The sequence below is a fragment of the Homo sapiens genome, chromosome 1, assembly GCF_000001405.40.
Source record: "Homo sapiens chromosome 1, GRCh38.p14 Primary Assembly".
NCBI classification, from domain to species: Eukaryota; Metazoa; Chordata; class Mammalia; order Primates; family Hominidae; genus Homo; species Homo sapiens.
The window spans coordinates 221,680,661-221,699,949 of NC_000001.11; positions in this window are offsets into that span (position 1 = coordinate 221,680,661).

Sequence of the window (19,289 nt, forward strand, 5' to 3'; positions counted from 1 at the left end):
CACACACACACACACACACACACACACACACACACACACACACACTCATAGAGATAATTTGAAGCTCTGGATGATATATCTCCCAGCCAGGCTGGTGCTAGGAGCATGCTGAATCCTAGACTCACCTTAATCCAATAAGTAATTGAGATTCTTAAACACTGAGTTTTAATCTCCATGTAGGTTTGTATATTCATTATACAACTTGAGTCCAAGGCTATCATCTCTTGGGACAGCAACTAAAGCCTGGACGATTTACCAGTATCCTTCTCTCCTTGAGGGCTTCTGAAGACCAGTGTTTTCCCTAGTCCTTTCAGACTTTCAGAAGCTTTGCTCAAGTTTACAGCTTCTCAATGGACTCTACCACAACTGTACAATGCATTAGAGGGAAAGCATCCCAAAATGCCAAGCTCATCTCTCTGAGTTTCCTTTTCCTGAATTTTGTCTTCACAATTAATTCTGAATTATGGCAGTAATCTGGTGTTTTCAAACATTTGTTGTTTATATTTTGTCCATATGTGCTAATTATTTTCAGTAAGAAAATTAGTTCAATTTACTAGTCATCCAAGTAGCTTCTAAGATTTTCTAATTTTCCTGATATTTTGTGGTTTGTCTGTGATGTGTATAAGAATCAATTTGTTTGTATTTATCCTGCTTGATACTCATTGCTCTTTTTCAATCTGCATCCAATATCTCCTTTCAATTCTTGAACTCTCTGCCATCGTCTTTTTGAACATTGGCTGTCCCCATTGTCTCTAATCTTTTCTGGAATTTTTACTAGACATTTGTTGGAGCCTCTCCTGTCTTCTATATCTTTCAATTTCTCCTCCAAATTATTCATTTACTTATTATCATCTAGTACATTCTAAGTGGTTTCCTTAAAATTATCTAACAATGTTTTAATCTGTCTTCTGGTAAACTACCAATTTTATATATATTTTAGTGGCTATTTTTTATTCTCAAGAATTTCTACTTTTTTTTCAAATGTATCTGTTCTGCTTCATTTTCTTATTATTATGTTCTGGATTATTTTCCCTTATAATTTGAACGTCTTTAATATGTTAATTTTAAAGTATTTTTTAAGGTTGAGAAGAACTAAATATTTATCAGACCAGTTTTCTGAATAGTTCCCACCCTTTCCTTATCCCTAAAGCCATGGCTCTAGATGAGCTATGTCCTCTTAATTTTCTTATTGTATAGATAATATACTCATCCTTTGGTATTCATGAAAGATTTGTTTAAGGACTTCCAGCAGATACCAAATGCACAGATGCTCAAGTCCGTGATATAAAACAGTATGGTATTTTCATATAACCTATGTACATCTTCCTCTATACTTTAAATCACCTCTAGGTTACTTACAATAGGTAATACAATGTAAATGCTATGTAAATAGTTGCTATACTGTATTGTTTAGGGAATAATAGCAAGGAAAAAAGTCTGTAAATGTTTAACAGAGATGCAATTTTTAAAAAATATTTTTGATCTCTAGTTGGTTGAATCCATGGATGCAGAAATCCGTGGATGTGGGCGGCAACTGTCCAAGAGTTTTACCTTTGCACCAAAGCATAATGTAGTCTTGAGGTTCTGATTAGTAATGGTGAGTATGCTTTCATCATATTAGTAAGACGACCCTAATTCCACTTTGTATCCTTGAACAGGGGCTAGAGTTTTACTAGGAAGCAGCCTTTCTTGCAAAGTATCCATTTTCATCTCCCTCCAGATACAAAGCTTACTGCTGGGCTCCTGCTCTGTCTTTGGTATTCAAAGCGTGCAGCTTTCATCTGGTTGTGTAACCTGGGCCATATGGCCTCCAATCCTACTCAGTTATTTATTGATCCTCTTTATCATTGATACCTGAAGAATTCACTTCTTGCTTTCAAAATTGGCAATGTATTTTTTAAAATAATTTAATCCACTATCTTGTATTTTTATGTGTTTGGAGTAGAGAATAGTGAGTTAATGAGGCCACTTCCAGAATTTGCCTGGTCTACCGACTTGAAAGAGAGCCAGAATATTCTTTAAACTTCTAAGTGCAGTCATGTTTGTCAAGAAATGCTGGTGTGTCTGCTGGAAATTTATCATAAAAATTCTAACTTCTCTGCCTCTTCCTGACAAAATAAATAAATTAGATCAATTGCTTGAACCCAAGATCAAACTATATACATTATAAAAATGTATATACATATCAAAACATAATGTACACTATAAGTAGGTATGATTTTTATTTGTCAATTATCCCTTATTAAATCTGAGAAAAAACAAATGAAATAAATACATAAAAATAATAGTTATCTGTGTTAGGGGAAAAAAATTTATAGCCTTTAACCTTATCCCCAACTTTATTACCAATAGATGAGAGTGCATTATTAGGCTTTACTTCAAGTATTTTTCTCAGCTGTGCCTTGGTCTAATACAATAAACCATGTATCATGAAAAAATGTAAAATGTTACCTTCATAAGCTAAGAAATTATGCATTAGATAGCCTATTTACTGGTGTTGGTGGTAGAGAAATAGCCTGTCTTGGACCTCATTTCCAAAGAGGTTTACTATGAAGTATTCAACAGACTTCATTATCAAACAGTGTCTTCTGTTTTCTCATTACTGTGTTGCTTCCAAGGACCATAGTCAGGAGTCAGAGGTCATTTGAGAGTATAATCCTACAAATATATATGTACACATTTCACTGATGGACCTTGTTGCTGCCTATCTGAAGAAACTATACTATTTACTCAGCAGCAAAATCAGCACCACTGCTCTTTTTCCCCCAAAGTCTCAAACAACACCCAGCCCATAGTAGGACCCTTACAAAAGTTAGTTGGGTAGTTAGAGAAGTAAATGACTGGAGAGAAATGAGAATGCTGAGACTATAGTATTGATCACTTGCTGCAACTCTCAATGTAGACTCCTAAAGTCAGGCAGGAGAATAGTTTTAGTCCTGCAGTCCATGGGGATCTGGACTACTAAGCAGATAACCCACAGCTCTTTCCTGGACTTCTAAGGGTTTTTGTCATATAAGTAATCTAAGTAATCTAAAGCTTTAAATATTTTTAGTTCCTTGTATAAAAGACAATCGATGCAGCAAGTATTTATTATTGCTGAACGCAAGCTTGGGAATTAATAGGCATAGTCTTGGCTGTATACCTTGAGTGAGTCACTTCTCCCTTTGAGACTTCAGTTTCCTAATCTGTAATTTGAAGTTTGAAAGGCTTTGACTAGATGGCATTTTAAGGCCCCTCCCAGTATGAACATTCTCTGATGTGTTAGTGACCTTCTAGCAGATGTAGTAACAATAAAGCAGATTTTTGATTGGGTTATTTTTTAAGCAATATGGCTATTTCCAAATAGCCAGTGGTTATTAAAAATATAAACACAATTCCTGCTTCATTCATGATATTTCTCCAAAAATCAGCAGGTTATTTACCATATATATTTTCAACAACTCAAAAGCCAGGGTTTATAGTAATACCAGCCTCCCTTTACACAGTGCATTTTATTCTAAAGTGCATTATCTTTAGAATTACCCTGAGACATTCTTTCAGTCAGTCATGAATGCAACTATTTCAGTAAGGAAAAAAAAAATCACCTCTATTCAAGCACACACCTGTGTGGCCAGACGAGAACTGAAAAACAAATCTGCTGCATTTGGGGAGGGAATTCCCAGTAGAGGAAATGAGGAAATGGAAAGCCCTTTGGTGGGGATTAGAATCCTGAGTCCCATCCCTCATTCAGCACTTCAAGCTGTGTGGCCTTGAGCATATCACTTCACCTTCAGCTTCTCTTGAATGAAATGGAAGGTTCTCTAGTGACTGTCTAACCCTGGCTGTGCCACAGGATTACCTACAGACCCTTCTACATGCACGGTATTGGGCCCCATCCAATATAATGAAATCAGTACTTCCAGAGGTGGGGCTTTGTAATATATGTCATTAAAAATCCTTCCAGTGAATTCTGGCTTCACACAGACCAGTATTTGGAGATAAGCAGGCTTAGAATCAGATCTCTCTCAGTCTTGATTTTTTAGGATTCTGTGAATGCATCTTCTGGATGAATCACTCCCAAATCTCCTAAGTATATGTAATACAATCTCTATTAGCAGTGATGGGTCCTTCTGAGGAAGATTAAGAAACAAGCAATGACAGAAAGATACCTTTATCTTCAGAGATATGGTAATCTAGTCTAATTATTGAATCCATTCAACAAATATTTATGGACAATCTATTATATGTATACAAATGTGCCAGGGACTAGGGAAAAACATGAACAAGTCTCACAGATCTTGTATTTGTTGGAGGATACAGACAAATAAAGAGGCTATTAGAAAGCAGAGTAATAAGGTGATTAAAATAAGAATAGGGTGCACAGGGCATGTTACAGGGGCTATAATACAGATTTCAGAAGACCAGGGAAGGCTTTCTGGAGGAAGAGACATCTAAGTTGAAGCCTGAAAGGCAAGGAGAGAATGAAGAAGAGGGTTCCAACTGGAGGAAGCAGCTTGGGTAAAAGCGAGGAAGTCCATGCTAGTATAGGGTAAGCACTGAAAGATATGGTTGGTGCGGGGGTTTATTAAGGAGAATTGACTCACATGATCACAAGGTGAAGTCCCACAGTAGGGCACCTGCAAGCTGAGGAGCAAGGAAGTCATTCTGAGTCCCAAAACCTCAAAAGTAGGGAAGCCAACAGTGCTGCCTTCAGTCTGTGGTCAAAGGCCCGAGAGCCCCTGGTAAAGCACTGGTGTAAGTCCAAGAGTCCAAAAGCTGAAGAACTTGGAGTCTGATGTTCAAGGGCAGGAAGCATCCAGCACAGGAGAAAGATGAAGGCTGGAAGACTCAGCAAGTCGGCTCCTTCCACCTTCTTCTGCCTGCCTTTTTCTAGCCACCTGCCTGCATTCCTTCTGGCTGGCAACTGATTAGACTGTGCCCTCCCAGATTGAGGGTGGGTCTGCCTCTCCCAGCCCACTGACTCAAATGTTAATCTCCTTTGGCAACACCCTCACAGACACACCCAGGAACAATACTTTGCATCCTTCAATTCAATCAAGTTGACACTCAATATTAACCATCACAGGATGAGAACAAGAGATGAAGCTGGAGAGCAGGAGGGGGAATCAGGGACCAGACCACGAGTGTGGGTATCAGGGTTCCAGCAGTGACACCACTTTGGGAACTTGTCAAGTCCTGACCTGGAGTCTGGTATGTGCCCCTGTGTACCCAGCTGAGTTTGAAGGTATGGCCCCAGCCTTTCCCAGAAATGCTGCTCACCCATATTAGAGGCAATCGGCACTGGACAAGTGTGATGAGGTAACACTATTTTTCTAAGTGCTTTATTTCCCTGAACATGCCGTTTATTACATTTTGGGTTTTAACTAAGGCTCACAGGAATGGACTGGAAGGATGTGGCTTCCCAGCTCAGGTTCAGAGTAAAGCAGCATGCCGAGTGAGCATGTTTCCAGAGCCCAGAGGGAGAAGGCCCAGGTGAAGGCTGCCATCTGGGGTGTGCCAAGAGGGTGGAGGTAAAGAACCACCATGGCAGGGCACCACCCTCTCCAACCCTGACACTACTTTGAATTATCAGAAAACATACAGATTTCTGCCTTACAGAAGACCCTTTTATTTTTTGCTTTTATAACTTTATTATGATATACTATCAAATGTACAGAAGAATCACAAGTACTTCCATATATTCCTTACTCAGTCTCCTTATATATTAAAATTTTGCCCATATTTATTATGTTATTGCCTCAAATTTTATACATACTATTTTCTGAATCATTGGAGAGTAGTTTCATATGTAAACAAATATATATTTTACTTTTAATTTGCCAGATACAACTTTATTTTTTTAATTTTTAATTTTTGTGGGTACATAGTAGGTGTCCATATTTATGGGTTACCTGAGATATTTTGATACAAGGATGCAATGCATAATAATCCCATCAGGGTGCATAGGATATCCATCACCTCAAGCATTTATCCTTTGTGTTTCAAGCAATCTAATTATAATATTTTAGTTATTTTAAAATGAAGGATTAAATTATTTTTTATTATAGTCACCTTGTTGTGCTAGCAAATACTAGTCTTAATTATTCTTTCTTACTATTTATTGTACCCATTAACCATCTCCCACTCCCGCCCACGATTACCCTTCCTAGCGTCTGGTAACCATCCTTCTGGGAGTAGTTACATATATCACGCCTCTTTATTCCTAAATATTTCCATGTGTATTTCCTCGGAACATTCATACATAGTCACAGTGCAATTATCAATGTTTTTAAAAAAATTAACATTATTATAAAAGTGTTATCTTATCCAGGGTCCATATTCAAATTTTGCCAACTATCTCCCAAAACGTTTTTTATTGCTATCTATTCCTAATAAAGCATCAAATCCAGTATTACACGTTGTATTTAGTTGCCATATATCTTAGTTTGCTTTAATCACTAGCAGTTCACTATGTACATCATTTCATTTAATCCTCATAACTGAGGCTCAGAAATGTTTAAGAAACTTGCCCAAAGTCATAGAGATTGAAATCCCAGTCTATTTGATTCCAACGAGTCTTTTCTTTCCATGATATCATCCTGACCATAATTAAGATATTATGTTCTTCTAACATGGAACCAACTATCTCTCAGAACTATCAGAGAAAAGATTCGGTTTCTTGTCCAAGATGTATCATTTGTTAAGTGCATGAGCTTGAGGTGCTCATAGACTTATTTGTTGAGCCTCACTTTCCTTTCTTGCATAATGAGAGCCATGCCTGCCATTGCTAACCTTACAAGGTTGCTGTGAGGTACTAAAAGAATGAGCATGTAAATGATCTTTGTAAATTATAAAGCTAGAAACATATAAAAACCTACCAGTGGCACAGTCACACTAAGGTGCAAATGGCTGAAATCAGACCCTACACTGAGTAATGACAGAAAAAAACGGAGCAAGAATTAAACAGAATAATAAAATATTCACATAGAAAGGTAAAAAGGCAAAAGAATAGGCTGAAGATAGTGGAAGGACATGTTTCAGCTACGTCCTAACTTTTCTGAACCAGTTCCTTCCCAGACCCAAGGTGCTATGCTAAACTTTTCCATATCACTTTCCTGGGTTTATCTAAGATTCCAGAATCCATAGACTGCTCCCCTCTCCCTCCACCCATACACACACTCACACTCACTCCACCATCCCTGGGAGAAGTTTCTTCCTTCTCCAAATATGTACAAAACCACCAGTCCCTAAGCCCAAGTGGGCTGGCTGAGATCAGGGCTATTCTGGGGCAGCCAGTTTGCACGCTGATAGGGGAGGATTAATGAGACAGTCTGCTCATCCATTGCAATTAGAAACAACACTGGAACTATTCTGAGGCTATTTCTATGCAGGGAACTTGAACTGCTCATCAGCCCTCCTCACTCAGAGACCTGTGGGTAATTAGGGCCGTGTTAAATATAGGAGAATCAACCCAGAGCAGCCCCATCTGTGCCGGCGCCTTGGGTTCTGAGGATACACTGTGCCCTCAGCTAGCACTCCAACAGCAGTAAAGGGGGATTTAGCTTCAACCTGGAGGATTTGGGTGTTGCTTAACTCAAGCTAAAAATGCCCTGGCCTTTTAGGCCCACATGGGCTGTCAGATAAAACTCAGGAGTGAAAACCACATCAGCCCCAGGAAAGCACCTGACATTTATGGGCCCTATTTGCCAAGCCACAGGGTTGCCACCAACTCATTAAAAAGGACAGTTTAGCTTAGGATGAAGGCATGGAGGGAGTGCAGTGTGTCTGTAAACCTTATATTTGAAGAAGAACAACTAAAAAAACAAAAACAGTGGGTAAGGAAGGATGCTATAGTATGTAATTACAACACCCTCTGACTCCAAACAGTTGTGTGGACACTGGGTCATTATGCAGGACTTTTCTGTCCTTCTGAAAAGACACTCCTAAGTAATAAGCTCATAGCACACAAGATTGGATAATACTGCACAGTCATTATTTTCTCATGGTGTTGCTCAGGGGTGGAGGGGTTGCTGAGTATATTAGTTTCACTTTACGGATTTTATTTTCTAGAAGTTGTTGGGGGAGATAGTAAACTCAGACCCATAGGTAGAGCCCACAATAGGTCCCAGAGAGAGCAATCCTGAGTTCCTGTGGCCACTAGTCTTCATGGTAATTACCTCTTTGCAAAATGCATCCTCTGGGGCCTGCTACTCAAAGTGTGGTCCTTGGATTGGCAGCTTTGGTCTCCACCTAAAGTGTGGTAGAAATGCAGAATCTCAGGTCTCATCTACTCAATCAGAACCTGCCTTTTAACAAGGTCCCTTGGTGATCCATATGAACTAAGAGAAATATTAAAGTTTAAGAAATATTCTCCAGGAGGCCCATTGCCTTGTGTCTGGGAGAGGGTGTGAGGCCATTTGTTGCAATGCCCCAGGTATTTGTTGTTTGCTTGTTTGTGGTTGGTTGGTTTGTGTTTCCTGATGTCTGATGATTAGAAAGTCTTACAACCTCCCAGGCTTCCAGGATGGGTGCATTTGAGGGTCCTAAGGTAAAATTTTAGGCCAAGCCATCATTCTTAAGCCTTTCCATTTCATCCATCTCACAAGGGATGAGGATTCAAAGGTTCTAGACTGGGAGGGCCTGTCTCCTAATTGATTTAGGACATTCAGTTGTGTTTACGGTTACCAAATGTCATAGGGGCTTGTCCTGCACTGATCTATAGCTCAGTGACTAACATCCTCAAGATGCGGAAGTGGCTTGGTGTGTTCCTGTAGCTGTATACCTTGTTTCCATGGAGCCCATTTTTTATTCACGCTAAGTTTGCCTGGCCTTACAAAACTTCTTGGGTGGTAGCAGGGGCCACTGTATCCTAAGCAGATCCACTGGAATCAATTTTTGGTGGAAGCTGGCTCCAGTAGAGGTCAACTGCCCCAGATAAAAAAGGAAATTGCTGTTTTTCCAGGTATTTGGAGGGCTTGCTGGCCAGGCAGGTCGCTGTCAGGGTTTGAAGGCACTAAGACCCAGGAAGTAGACCCTCAGCCCAGCTGTTGAGACAGATCCAGACTCTCCGTCTCTGACAAGCCATTTGGACTGTCTTTTCTGAGTTCTTTATATTTTCCTAATTCATGGGCTTCAGGCAATCACAACCACCCAATGACATCCTCTTTCAGCTGCAAAGTACCATGGGGTGATGGACAGTGCACTATCCTGGAGACACTATTTCACAGGCGATTTTGCATCCACTTAGCCCCATCTGAAGTTGACTCAAGTGGACTAGTATGGGCAGCAAAGAAGCTCACAGACGATGGCATCTCTAGGAGTACTAAGCTACCGAGATGACCGAGAAGAACAGTTATGATAAGGTGACAGGCTGCATTTCTCCAATCCTGAGTAGGAAACGTATTTTCATCCCACATGGTAACTCAAGTTCTATGGTTGTCAGGAGCTTCTAATGTCCCCATATTAAGAATCACACAATGTAATACACCACTAGCTATCACATGACACATGGGAGAGAGTTTCAGAAGAAGAATGTCACATTGGTTCTACTTACTTATCCCTAAGTAATTCTCCTCTTGCCCATGGAAGCAACAGAAGTGCCATTTGCAGATTACCTTCTTTTTTGATTTGTTTCTTTGACAAAGTTAAATGCCCAGGCCAGACTATGTAAGTATTACAAGTATAGCAGTGAACAGGCAGATACGCTTCCTGCCTAATGAAACCTACTTCTTGGTGAGATACACAGACATTAAATAAGCAATCAGAGAATTAATGCGCAATTAAAATTGTGACAAGTGTGACAAAGAAAACATACAGGATGCTGTATACAGTGGTTGTTTGTAAACGAGCTTTCAAAAAAAGCCCTGATTTGTAGCATCTGCCAATTTCTGCAGTGTAAATATATCCACAGTTAATTTCAAGCTATGGGCAGTTGCAGTTGCCAGCTCACGCAGTTCTAGAATATTCAACAATCAGCTCTGGTTAGCCAGCATGAGCCAACTTCAGCAGACCACTGCGTCACATCAGATATTATAGAGAAGGACTAAACTGAGCTATGGGGGGTCAGAGCTTTTCTGATGAAGTGAAATTTAAAGTGAGCCTTGAGGGATCATCAGTAATTTGCTAGGGAAGGAGTGAGAGCAAAAGACTTTTCATGCGTAAGGAATAACTTGTACAATGCATAAGGAATAACGTGCATAAGGAATAACTTGTACAATAACTTGTACAAAAGAGGTAAGAAGGAACATGGTGTTTTATGTAATGGGAGAAGATCAGTGTGGGGAAGCTTAGTGTGCCTCCAAACCAGATGAAATAGATACTATTATAATTATCCTCATTTGTAAGGAAACTGAGCTGCAGACAGCCTGAATAACCAAGTAACTAGCTCAAGGTCATACAACTGCAAAGTGGTAGGGTGTGGATCTGAATCTTGGCAATCTTTCTCTAGAGGCTGCCATGCTATCACTTTGTGCTGCCTTTCAGCTGAGAATGGAAATGGTAGGCAAGGGCCCAAACCATGCAAAAGCTAGTAAAATGGCTTTCTTCTACAAGCAATATCAAATTCGTTTCTCAAGGCATTTCTCTAGGCCAGCAGATCTTACCTAACCCATTTGGTTAGGAGACCATAGGAAAATCTGATGAAAGATGTAGACAGCCTCATCATAATGAATGTGTTCAAACACATACACAAATTTACATATGTTTTTTGATGGCTCACAGACACCCTAGTCCATTTATAATCTCCTTAGTAGTCCAAACATTGCAGAAAAGCAATCTGTGGGCTGCATTTTCCCCTCCTGCTGGCCTCCTGCCTCCTATCTCTATCTTAGATACTTTTGTTGATTCAGTTCTTGCTCTCTGCCATCTTACAAGAAATTTGCAAGCTTCCAGGAACAGAAGATTTCATCTTTCACTGAAGCCCTGGGGCCATGTCATTTAAAATACCTCTAGCAAGAGTGCTGGGCTATGGTCAGGAAATGATTTTCATCTCAACCTGCTCTCTGACAACTTTCTCCCCTGTTTCCCTATCCATAACATGGAAATTTGTTAGCACCTATATTTAGTGCTTTGCTTGAAGACCCATATCCTGGCACTTCCTATGTTAAAATATGCCATAAAAATCCAAATGTGCCGGGTGCGGTGGCTCACGCCTGTAATCCCAACTCTCAGGGAGGCAGAGGTGGGAGGATGGCTTGAGCCCAGGAGTTCAAGACCTGCCTTGGCAATATAGTGAGACCCCGTTCTCCACAGAAAGAGAGGGGGAAAAAAAGACAAAAAAAGGAAATTACCAGACCCTTCGGCCGGGCATGGTGGCTCACCGCCTGTAATCCCAGCACCTTGGGAGGCTGAGGTGGGTGGATCACGAGGTCAAGAGATGGAGACCATCCTGGCTAACACGGTGAAACTCCGTCTCTACTAAAAATACAAAAAAAAAAAAAAAAAAAAAATTAGCCGGGCATGGTGGTGGGCATCTGTAGTCCCAGCTACCCAGGAGGCTGACGCAGGAGAATGGCGTGAACCCGGGAGGTGGAGCTTGCAGTGAGCCGAGATCGCGCCACTGCACTCCAGCCTGGGTAACAGAGCGAGACTCCGTCTTAAAAAAAAAAAAAAAAAAAAAAAAAAATCCAAATGTATGTCTATAATTCAGTTTACAATAAGTCTACTTTTCACTGAATTATATTTGAGAGTAAAATTGTATTAGAGTATTGAATTACATTTCAGAGTAAATTTCTGGTATAATTATGCTTTACTCTGACTTCTTCATAATTGTTTTTGAATTTGTAGGTGATATTCAGAAAAGTGTTCTGAGACCTTTGGAAAAAAACCCCATATAAATGCAGAGCATTACGACTGTAATAATAATTATTTTGCTGCTATTTCCACCATTGATCCTGAAACTATTTTTTCCTCTGCTTCCAATTAGCTATTTTCTCCCTCCCATCCAAAATAAGGAGTGACAGCTTTAAATTAGCTAAAGATAAAAAAAAAAAAAATCCTTGAAGTACTGTCTGCAGTGACAACCTTACGAGGTAGAGGAGAGCTTTTTGATACCATCCCACACACCAGCTTATGAGAGCTGATTGTTAAATATTTTGGAGTTTTATAAGTTGACAACTGTTTTAGATGTCAAAAGCCAATGGAGTAAAAATGCTCTGATGAGTCAATAATAAAATACTGAGCAATACCACAACCAAGACACTGACGTAAGTGTTATAGGGAAGACCAAGTATGTCTTTAACCTATAGTCTAAATAGATACATGGGAGGCTATGGGCCCCTCAAGGGTAGAGTCTTCTTAATAAACACTTGCCATGGTTTGGGCCACTGAAAGATATCAATGAAACACATGTTTGTTGAATGAACAAATAAATGGATAAATGCTAAGGTGCAGTGCTGCCTAGCATTGGGAAGATGACTTTCAAGAGAATCCCAGAGACTCATGTCCAGATTAGGAGAAAGGAAATGTCTTTCTGATGACTTCCTTGAAATTGACATATATAAGGAATAAGGACTAATGAATAAATACTTGTGTTCTGTTCTTTTCTTTGGGCCTTTTTCTCTACCTCTCTTACTTATCTTCCTGACTTGGTAGAGTGTAATCCATTTGAAATACTGCTCAGTGGAGCCCCCAGTGGTTTAGTAGATCTGTGAAATTCGATATTATTTTCTTACAAAAACTCTCCTCTGGGGGTAGTAACCTTTGTCAGTCTCCTAGTTTTGGCTTTGTTGTGCAAAGTGAACTATCGTGGATTAAAGATGGCCACAAGTTCTTTGCTACTCTATGCATTGAGAAGTGAAGTCTAATTACCCAACCCTTGGATCTGGGCTTGCATTACTGATTCATTTAATAAATAGAATTTGGCGGAAGTGATCCAGAACTTTGGAATTTAAGTGATTTAGAAGACTTACAACTTTCATCCATGCCTTTTGGAATCCTTGTTCTTGGAAACTAGCTGCCATGTTTTCAGGAAGCCCAAGCATCCCTATGAAGAGGTCCATGTGGAGAGGATCCAAGGTATCCAGTGGATAACCCTGGATGAGTTCCAAGTCAACTATAAGAAGCACTTGCCAGTCATTTGAGCAAGCTATCTTGGAAGTACGTTCTCCAGCCCCAGTCAAGCCTTCCCAGAAGACATTTCTTATCTGCATGAGTTTATCAGAGATGAACTGTCCCTATTGAACCTGCCTAAAACAGATTAGTGAACAAAACAATTGTTATTGTTTTAAGTCCCTAAGTTGTGTAGTAGTTTATTATGCAGCAATAAGCAACATGCCAAAATAGTAAACAAAAGGAATATTGAATTCTTAAAGGAGTATGAAGATTAGAGCCACCAACAGGAACTGAAACAAAATGCAAGGATGGTGATTCCTACCAAATTCCCCATTTATTTTGCTGATTTATCCTATGCAGAACACAGATGAATTTTGAAGAATGACAGTGAATTTTTAATATCTCAATCAGATGTTGGCTCCAATTGCAGCTGTTGTTCCAACTGTAGTTTCATTGATGGAACAAATCAATAGGGCTCCTGGCACCTGGTCAGGAGCCACTGAGCTGGCAAATGCTTATTTCTCTATACCTGTTAATAAATTCCAGAAATTAGCAAATTACAGCTCATGGGCCAAATTCAGACTACTGGATTTTTATAAATAAAGTTTTATTAGAACACAGTTACATTTCTCTATTTACATATTAGGTATGGCTGCTCTTATGCTGCAACAGCAGATTTCAGTAATTATGGCAGAGACCATATGTCCTCCAAATTCTAAAATATTTATTTTCTAGCTTTTTACAGAAAATGTTTGCTAACCTCTGGTATATACTATCAGAAGCAATTTGCTTCCAGCCAACAGGGTTACTAATGTACCTCCACTGTCCTACTTCAGGGCTATTTCAACTTTACAGCCCTGTGTTGTAATCTAGTCCACAGGGACCATAATTGTCTATCCATTCCATCAGATACCATGCAGGCACATTATATTAATGATATTATATCATGATTACTGTACCTGGTAAATAGGATAAAGTAACTAGTTCTAGATATGATGTTAAGATACTTGCATACCAGAGAGTGATAAATTCCACAAAATTCACTTTATATCCACTGAATGTTACTGAAATTTGTAGTGATCTACTTGTTTTGAGCATTCCAAGATATTCCTTTCATGAACATGATGACAGGTTGCTATATCTGACCTCTCCTACTATTAAGAAAGAGGGATAATGTCTAATGGGCCTTTGTGGATTTTGAAGAGAATATATATTTCATTGGGCATGCTACTACAATCCATTTACCAAGTAAGATGTAAGGTCATTAGTTTTGTGTGAGGTCCAAAACAAGAAAAGCCTCTACAATACAAGGCTGCCATACAAACTGCTCTTACATCTAGATCCAGTAGATTCCATGGTGCTAAAAATGTCTCTGTTAGGCAGGAATCTTGCATGAAGCCATTAACCTGATAGATGAATCATAGAGCAGACATTTAGAATTCTGGAGCAAAACTATAACAACTTCTTCAGAAAAATTCTTCTTTTAATTCAGATATTCTTCTTTTCTCTTCAAAATTCTTCTTTAGAATACCAGTTTGAAACTGGAAGCTTGATCATGGGCCATCAAGTTATAATGCAACCTGAACTGCCCATGATGAACTAAGTGTTGTTGATCCATCAAGCCTCTAAGTTGTGCATGAATGATCAAATGGAAGCCTCTAAGTTGTTCATTCAATGATCAAATGGAAGTAGAATATATGAGATCAAGCACAAGTATATTAAATAAGCAAGTGACCCAGTTACCCATGGTGTCTATTTGTGCAACAATAGCTTCAGAATCTTACACCCATGGCCTCATGGGAAGCACTCAGTGACCAGTGGACTGAAAAATATTTGGCATTGTTTACAGAAATTTTTGTGTGATATTCTGGTATCATCCAAAACCGAATGACTAAATCATTGTGGCCCTATACTGGTGGTGTGGGGAAGAAAAATTTTCCCAGTAATAAGAACTTCCAGCAGTGTACCTAATTGTTCATTTTGCCTCAAAGGAAAGACAGCCAGAGGTATAAATCTACATTGCTTCATGGGCAGTTGCTAACGTTTAGATGGATAATAAGGGACTTAGAAGAAACATGACTGGAAAATTAGTGACAGGAAAATCTAGGGAAGAAGTAAATGGATAGACTTTCCTAAATGGGCCCATGTGAATGTTGATCAAAGCTCAACCTCAGCATGTAAGAATCTTAATAATGGACAAGAGAACACATTCTGCAGACCTCTATCAGGTTTTTCTTTCCAGTTTCTTCTGTTCTTGACCAATGAGCTCGTGAACAAAATAGCCATGATGGTAGACATGGAGGGTATGCATGAATTCAGCAACATGAACTTCTACTCACAAGGCCTGAAAGGGCAGTATTTTGTTCTTGCTCCATAGAAACTTACTCTTTATAGGGATTTGTCTTCCCTACCTGTAATACCTTTGCCAAAATCAGTATCTGTGGACTTAAAGAATTCTTATATCTTATTTCCCTTCATGTTATTCCACAGTGCTTTGCTTTTGACCAAGGAACTTACTTTGCAGCAAATGAAGAATAACAGACTCATGCTCATGGAATTCATTAGTCTTAACTTGTTATTCATCACTCTAAAGCAGTAGAAAGGTGGAATTCTTCTTTTAACTATTTACTGTGCTAGATGGATGGAAACACTTTGCAGGGCTAGGATAATGTCCTGAAAGATGCAGTAAATTCTCTAAATGATCAATCAATGCATGTTGCTGTTTCTCTCTTATCCAGATTTCATAGATCCAGGAATCAAGGGGGAAAAATGGAAAGGGCTCCTCTTACTGTTACCCATAGTGATCCACAGCAAAATTTATTCTTTCTATTCTCAACTTTAGACTCTGCTGGTCTAGAAGTTCTGGTCCCCAAGGGAGAGATGCTTCTACTAGGAGATACAGCAATGATTCCATTAAGATGGAAGTTGATACTCCCTGCTGCCGACTTTGGGCTCCTTATGCTAAAGAATCAACAAGCAAAGTCAGATATTGGTGTATTGGCTGGGATGACTGGGGAAATTGGATTACTACCAGATTATAGGAGTAAGAAAAAGTGTGCCTGGAATTCAAGATCATATCTTATACTCTCAAGTCTTGTAATTACTTTTGTTGCTGTAACGAACAAAGTAAGTGGAAAATAACCCAATGCAGGCTCAATTGCAAAAGCTTGGATCCCTCAAAAATGAAAACTGACATCACCCCAACAGGCAAGAAACCATGACTAGGTGATGTGCTTGCTGAGGACACAAGTATATGGAATGGGTAGTGAAAGAAGGAAGTTATAAATACCAGCTATGACCACAAGATCAGTTATAGAAATTAGGATGGTAAGAATTATGAATATTTATTTTTTGATATAAATATATTTGGTTGTATATTAACCAATTCTTTTTTCTACCCCATCCACCATCTAATATAAAATGGGGTAATAATAGTCTTTGTATTAGTTCCCTAGGGCTGCTATAACAAAGTACCACAAATTGGGTGGCTTAAAACAACAGAAATTTATTTTACTGCAGTCTGTATGCGAAAAGTCCTAAATCAATGTGATAGTGGGGTCACTTCCTTTTTAGAAGCTCTGAGGGAGAATCTGTTCAATGAGTCTCTTGTAGCCTCTGATGGTTGCTGGTAATCTTTGATGTTCCTTTGTCCAATCTCTGCCTCCATTGTTACGTGACATTCTTTGTGTCTGTGTTCAAATTCCCCTCCTCTTATAAGTACACCAGTCACTGAATTAGAGCCCATCTTAATCCAATATGACCTCTTCTTGATTATATCTGCAAAGACCGTATTTCCAAATAAGATCATATTTACAAGGTTCAGGGTTTAGCACTTCAACATGGCTTTTTGACAGACACAATTCAACCCATAATATCATTATATCTCAGTATATTCAAATGACATGACATCGAAGGGAAAGTGGATCTTAGCTAAAAAAAGACTGAATATCATCCCAAAATGGACAAAGTAACCTATGAGGCTATGTATCTTTTTTTTTTTTTTTTCTGTGGCATCATCTCACTCTATCACCCAGGCTGGTGCAGTGGTGCAATCTCGGCTCGCTGCAACCTCTGCCTCTTGGGTTCAAGTGATTAGAGTAGCTGGGATTACAGGCATGCACCACTATGCCTGTCTAATTTTTGTATTTTTCGTAGAGACAGGTTTCACCATGTTGGCCAGGCTGGTCTCGAACTCCTGACCTCAAGTGATCCACCCACCTCAGCCTCCTAAAGTGCTGGGATTACTGGTGTGAGTCACTGCACCCAGTCGTCTTTTAAATGTGTTTTCATCTGTAGAACTGATAGTTGCATCATACTACATAGAAGCATCGTTTTGCTAATGTCTTCATTTGGAAGTTATATTTAGTTAAGAGAAGTGGACATGGATGCCAAGTTGGCAAGGGATGGACTTTGGTAGCTTTCTACAGTATCAAATTGGCTAAATCAGGAGCTATATTTTCCAGAATTTCCTCTCCTGATTCACACTGAGTTAAGGTTAGCCTTAGGGGAAATTTGCATGAGGTTGGAAAAGCAGAATTGAAGCAGCAACCATTTGAAGGGGGCACCAAACTCTATGATGGCAAGCACACATTTACCCTGATGTGGTGACTCACCTGGACTTAGCGCAGCAGCTGTAGTTGAAGCTCCCAAAGCTCTGTCTTCAGCTTTGCCAAGTCCTATGCTAGGTACATGTTCAGCTCCATGGCAGAGGGCACTAGATCCTTCTGGAAGTCACCCCCATTGAGGTTGGTAAAAGGCTGATGTGGGTTCCAGTTTTTCCTCCTAATTCCAATTCTTTGTTCTTCTCTACTTCATGCCCAGCTTTTGTTACTGGTGGCTGTGCTGACCCGGAGAGTTCAGCCCATTATCAGACAGATGCAACACACTCCCATTGACTTCTTCACCAGATCCCACACTTGCCTGAGGTCTAATCCCTGGAATAAACCCCTCATTCTATGTCACTGTTTCTGCTTCTTATTAAACACCGATACATGCACCTTGTATCAAACACTGACAAAGGTTGTCACGAAGGAAGAAATCAGGAACCACAGAAAGCACTGGTGTTCATATTCCACCACCTCAAAAAGGCAGGAAGTCTTCTACAGATAGGTGTGATTTGGGGCACTTCTGAATTATGACCCATCCTTCTGGGTGCCAGTGCTAAAATAGTCATTTTCTACCACCCTTCATCTGACCTCCATTCATATGCAACAACTGTCTCCAATCAGAGCTTGAAACCAAACAGCAACTATATTTCCTGATATTTCATGTTTGGGGAAAAAAGCATAAAATAAAATGTGTTGTGACCTATTTACAAGAGCCTGTCCCCAAATAATGTGAAGGCCATCATTGATTGATCTCTATTTAACTTGGCTCATTGGACTTCTTACCATCAGAATATCTAGTTGAGCAATTTATTAGCATTCTATCTTAGTCAGCTTCTGGAGTGTAATTCAGGTCCTAGTTCCTTACTCTGACATAGGTTTTTTTCTTTTCATTTTAGCCTCCCATTTTCTCCTGTTTCCCGTATTACGAAAGGCCATGTTTCCCCTTTACTGCCAGCATGTGATTGTGTGGTTGTGTACATTTTTTCTTGAATATTTCCCCTTGTACATGTTTTTTGTCAGCTTCCTTGCCCTACCTCCCATGATGCCTTTCCTTATCCAGAAGACACTGGCACAAACTCTTTCAAGAAATGAAAACTCCCTATCATGGTTCACATGCATTGATTGGAAAAGTATTAACTATTGAAATAAATGTAATATATATAGAAACCTAAAGCTACTGTTTTGTTCAACCTAAGATAACAATGCTTGCTGTATTTCTTTAAATTAGTTACAGGTTCACTCTACTAAGTAATTAGATTCATTTAATATAAAACAACCGTTGCTGGATTCTGAGAATGGTTCATGCGTTGGTCAGGGACTTGGCTTTCTTGGGGAGACACAATTATTTCCTAGGGCAGCCTTATAGCTCCCAGACAGCTAGTGAGGCCCAGCAACATGTGGAGTCTGGTTTCTAGAGCTATGGCTTGGTTAATCTGTATTATTTTCATGAAGTGGTTAACATTCCTTATGAAGAAATGGAGGCTAAGTGACTCACAGCAGATTAGTAGAAAAGACCTGAGTCCCTCTCAGAATCTTTGGTATTCTGGTTGGCAGGATTACTGTTTGCCCCAGGATAGGCTTTTCTCTCAAAATCATAAACTTCCAAAAACATAAATCATTTCCATGTGGATAAAGATGAGAAACTGTATTGAC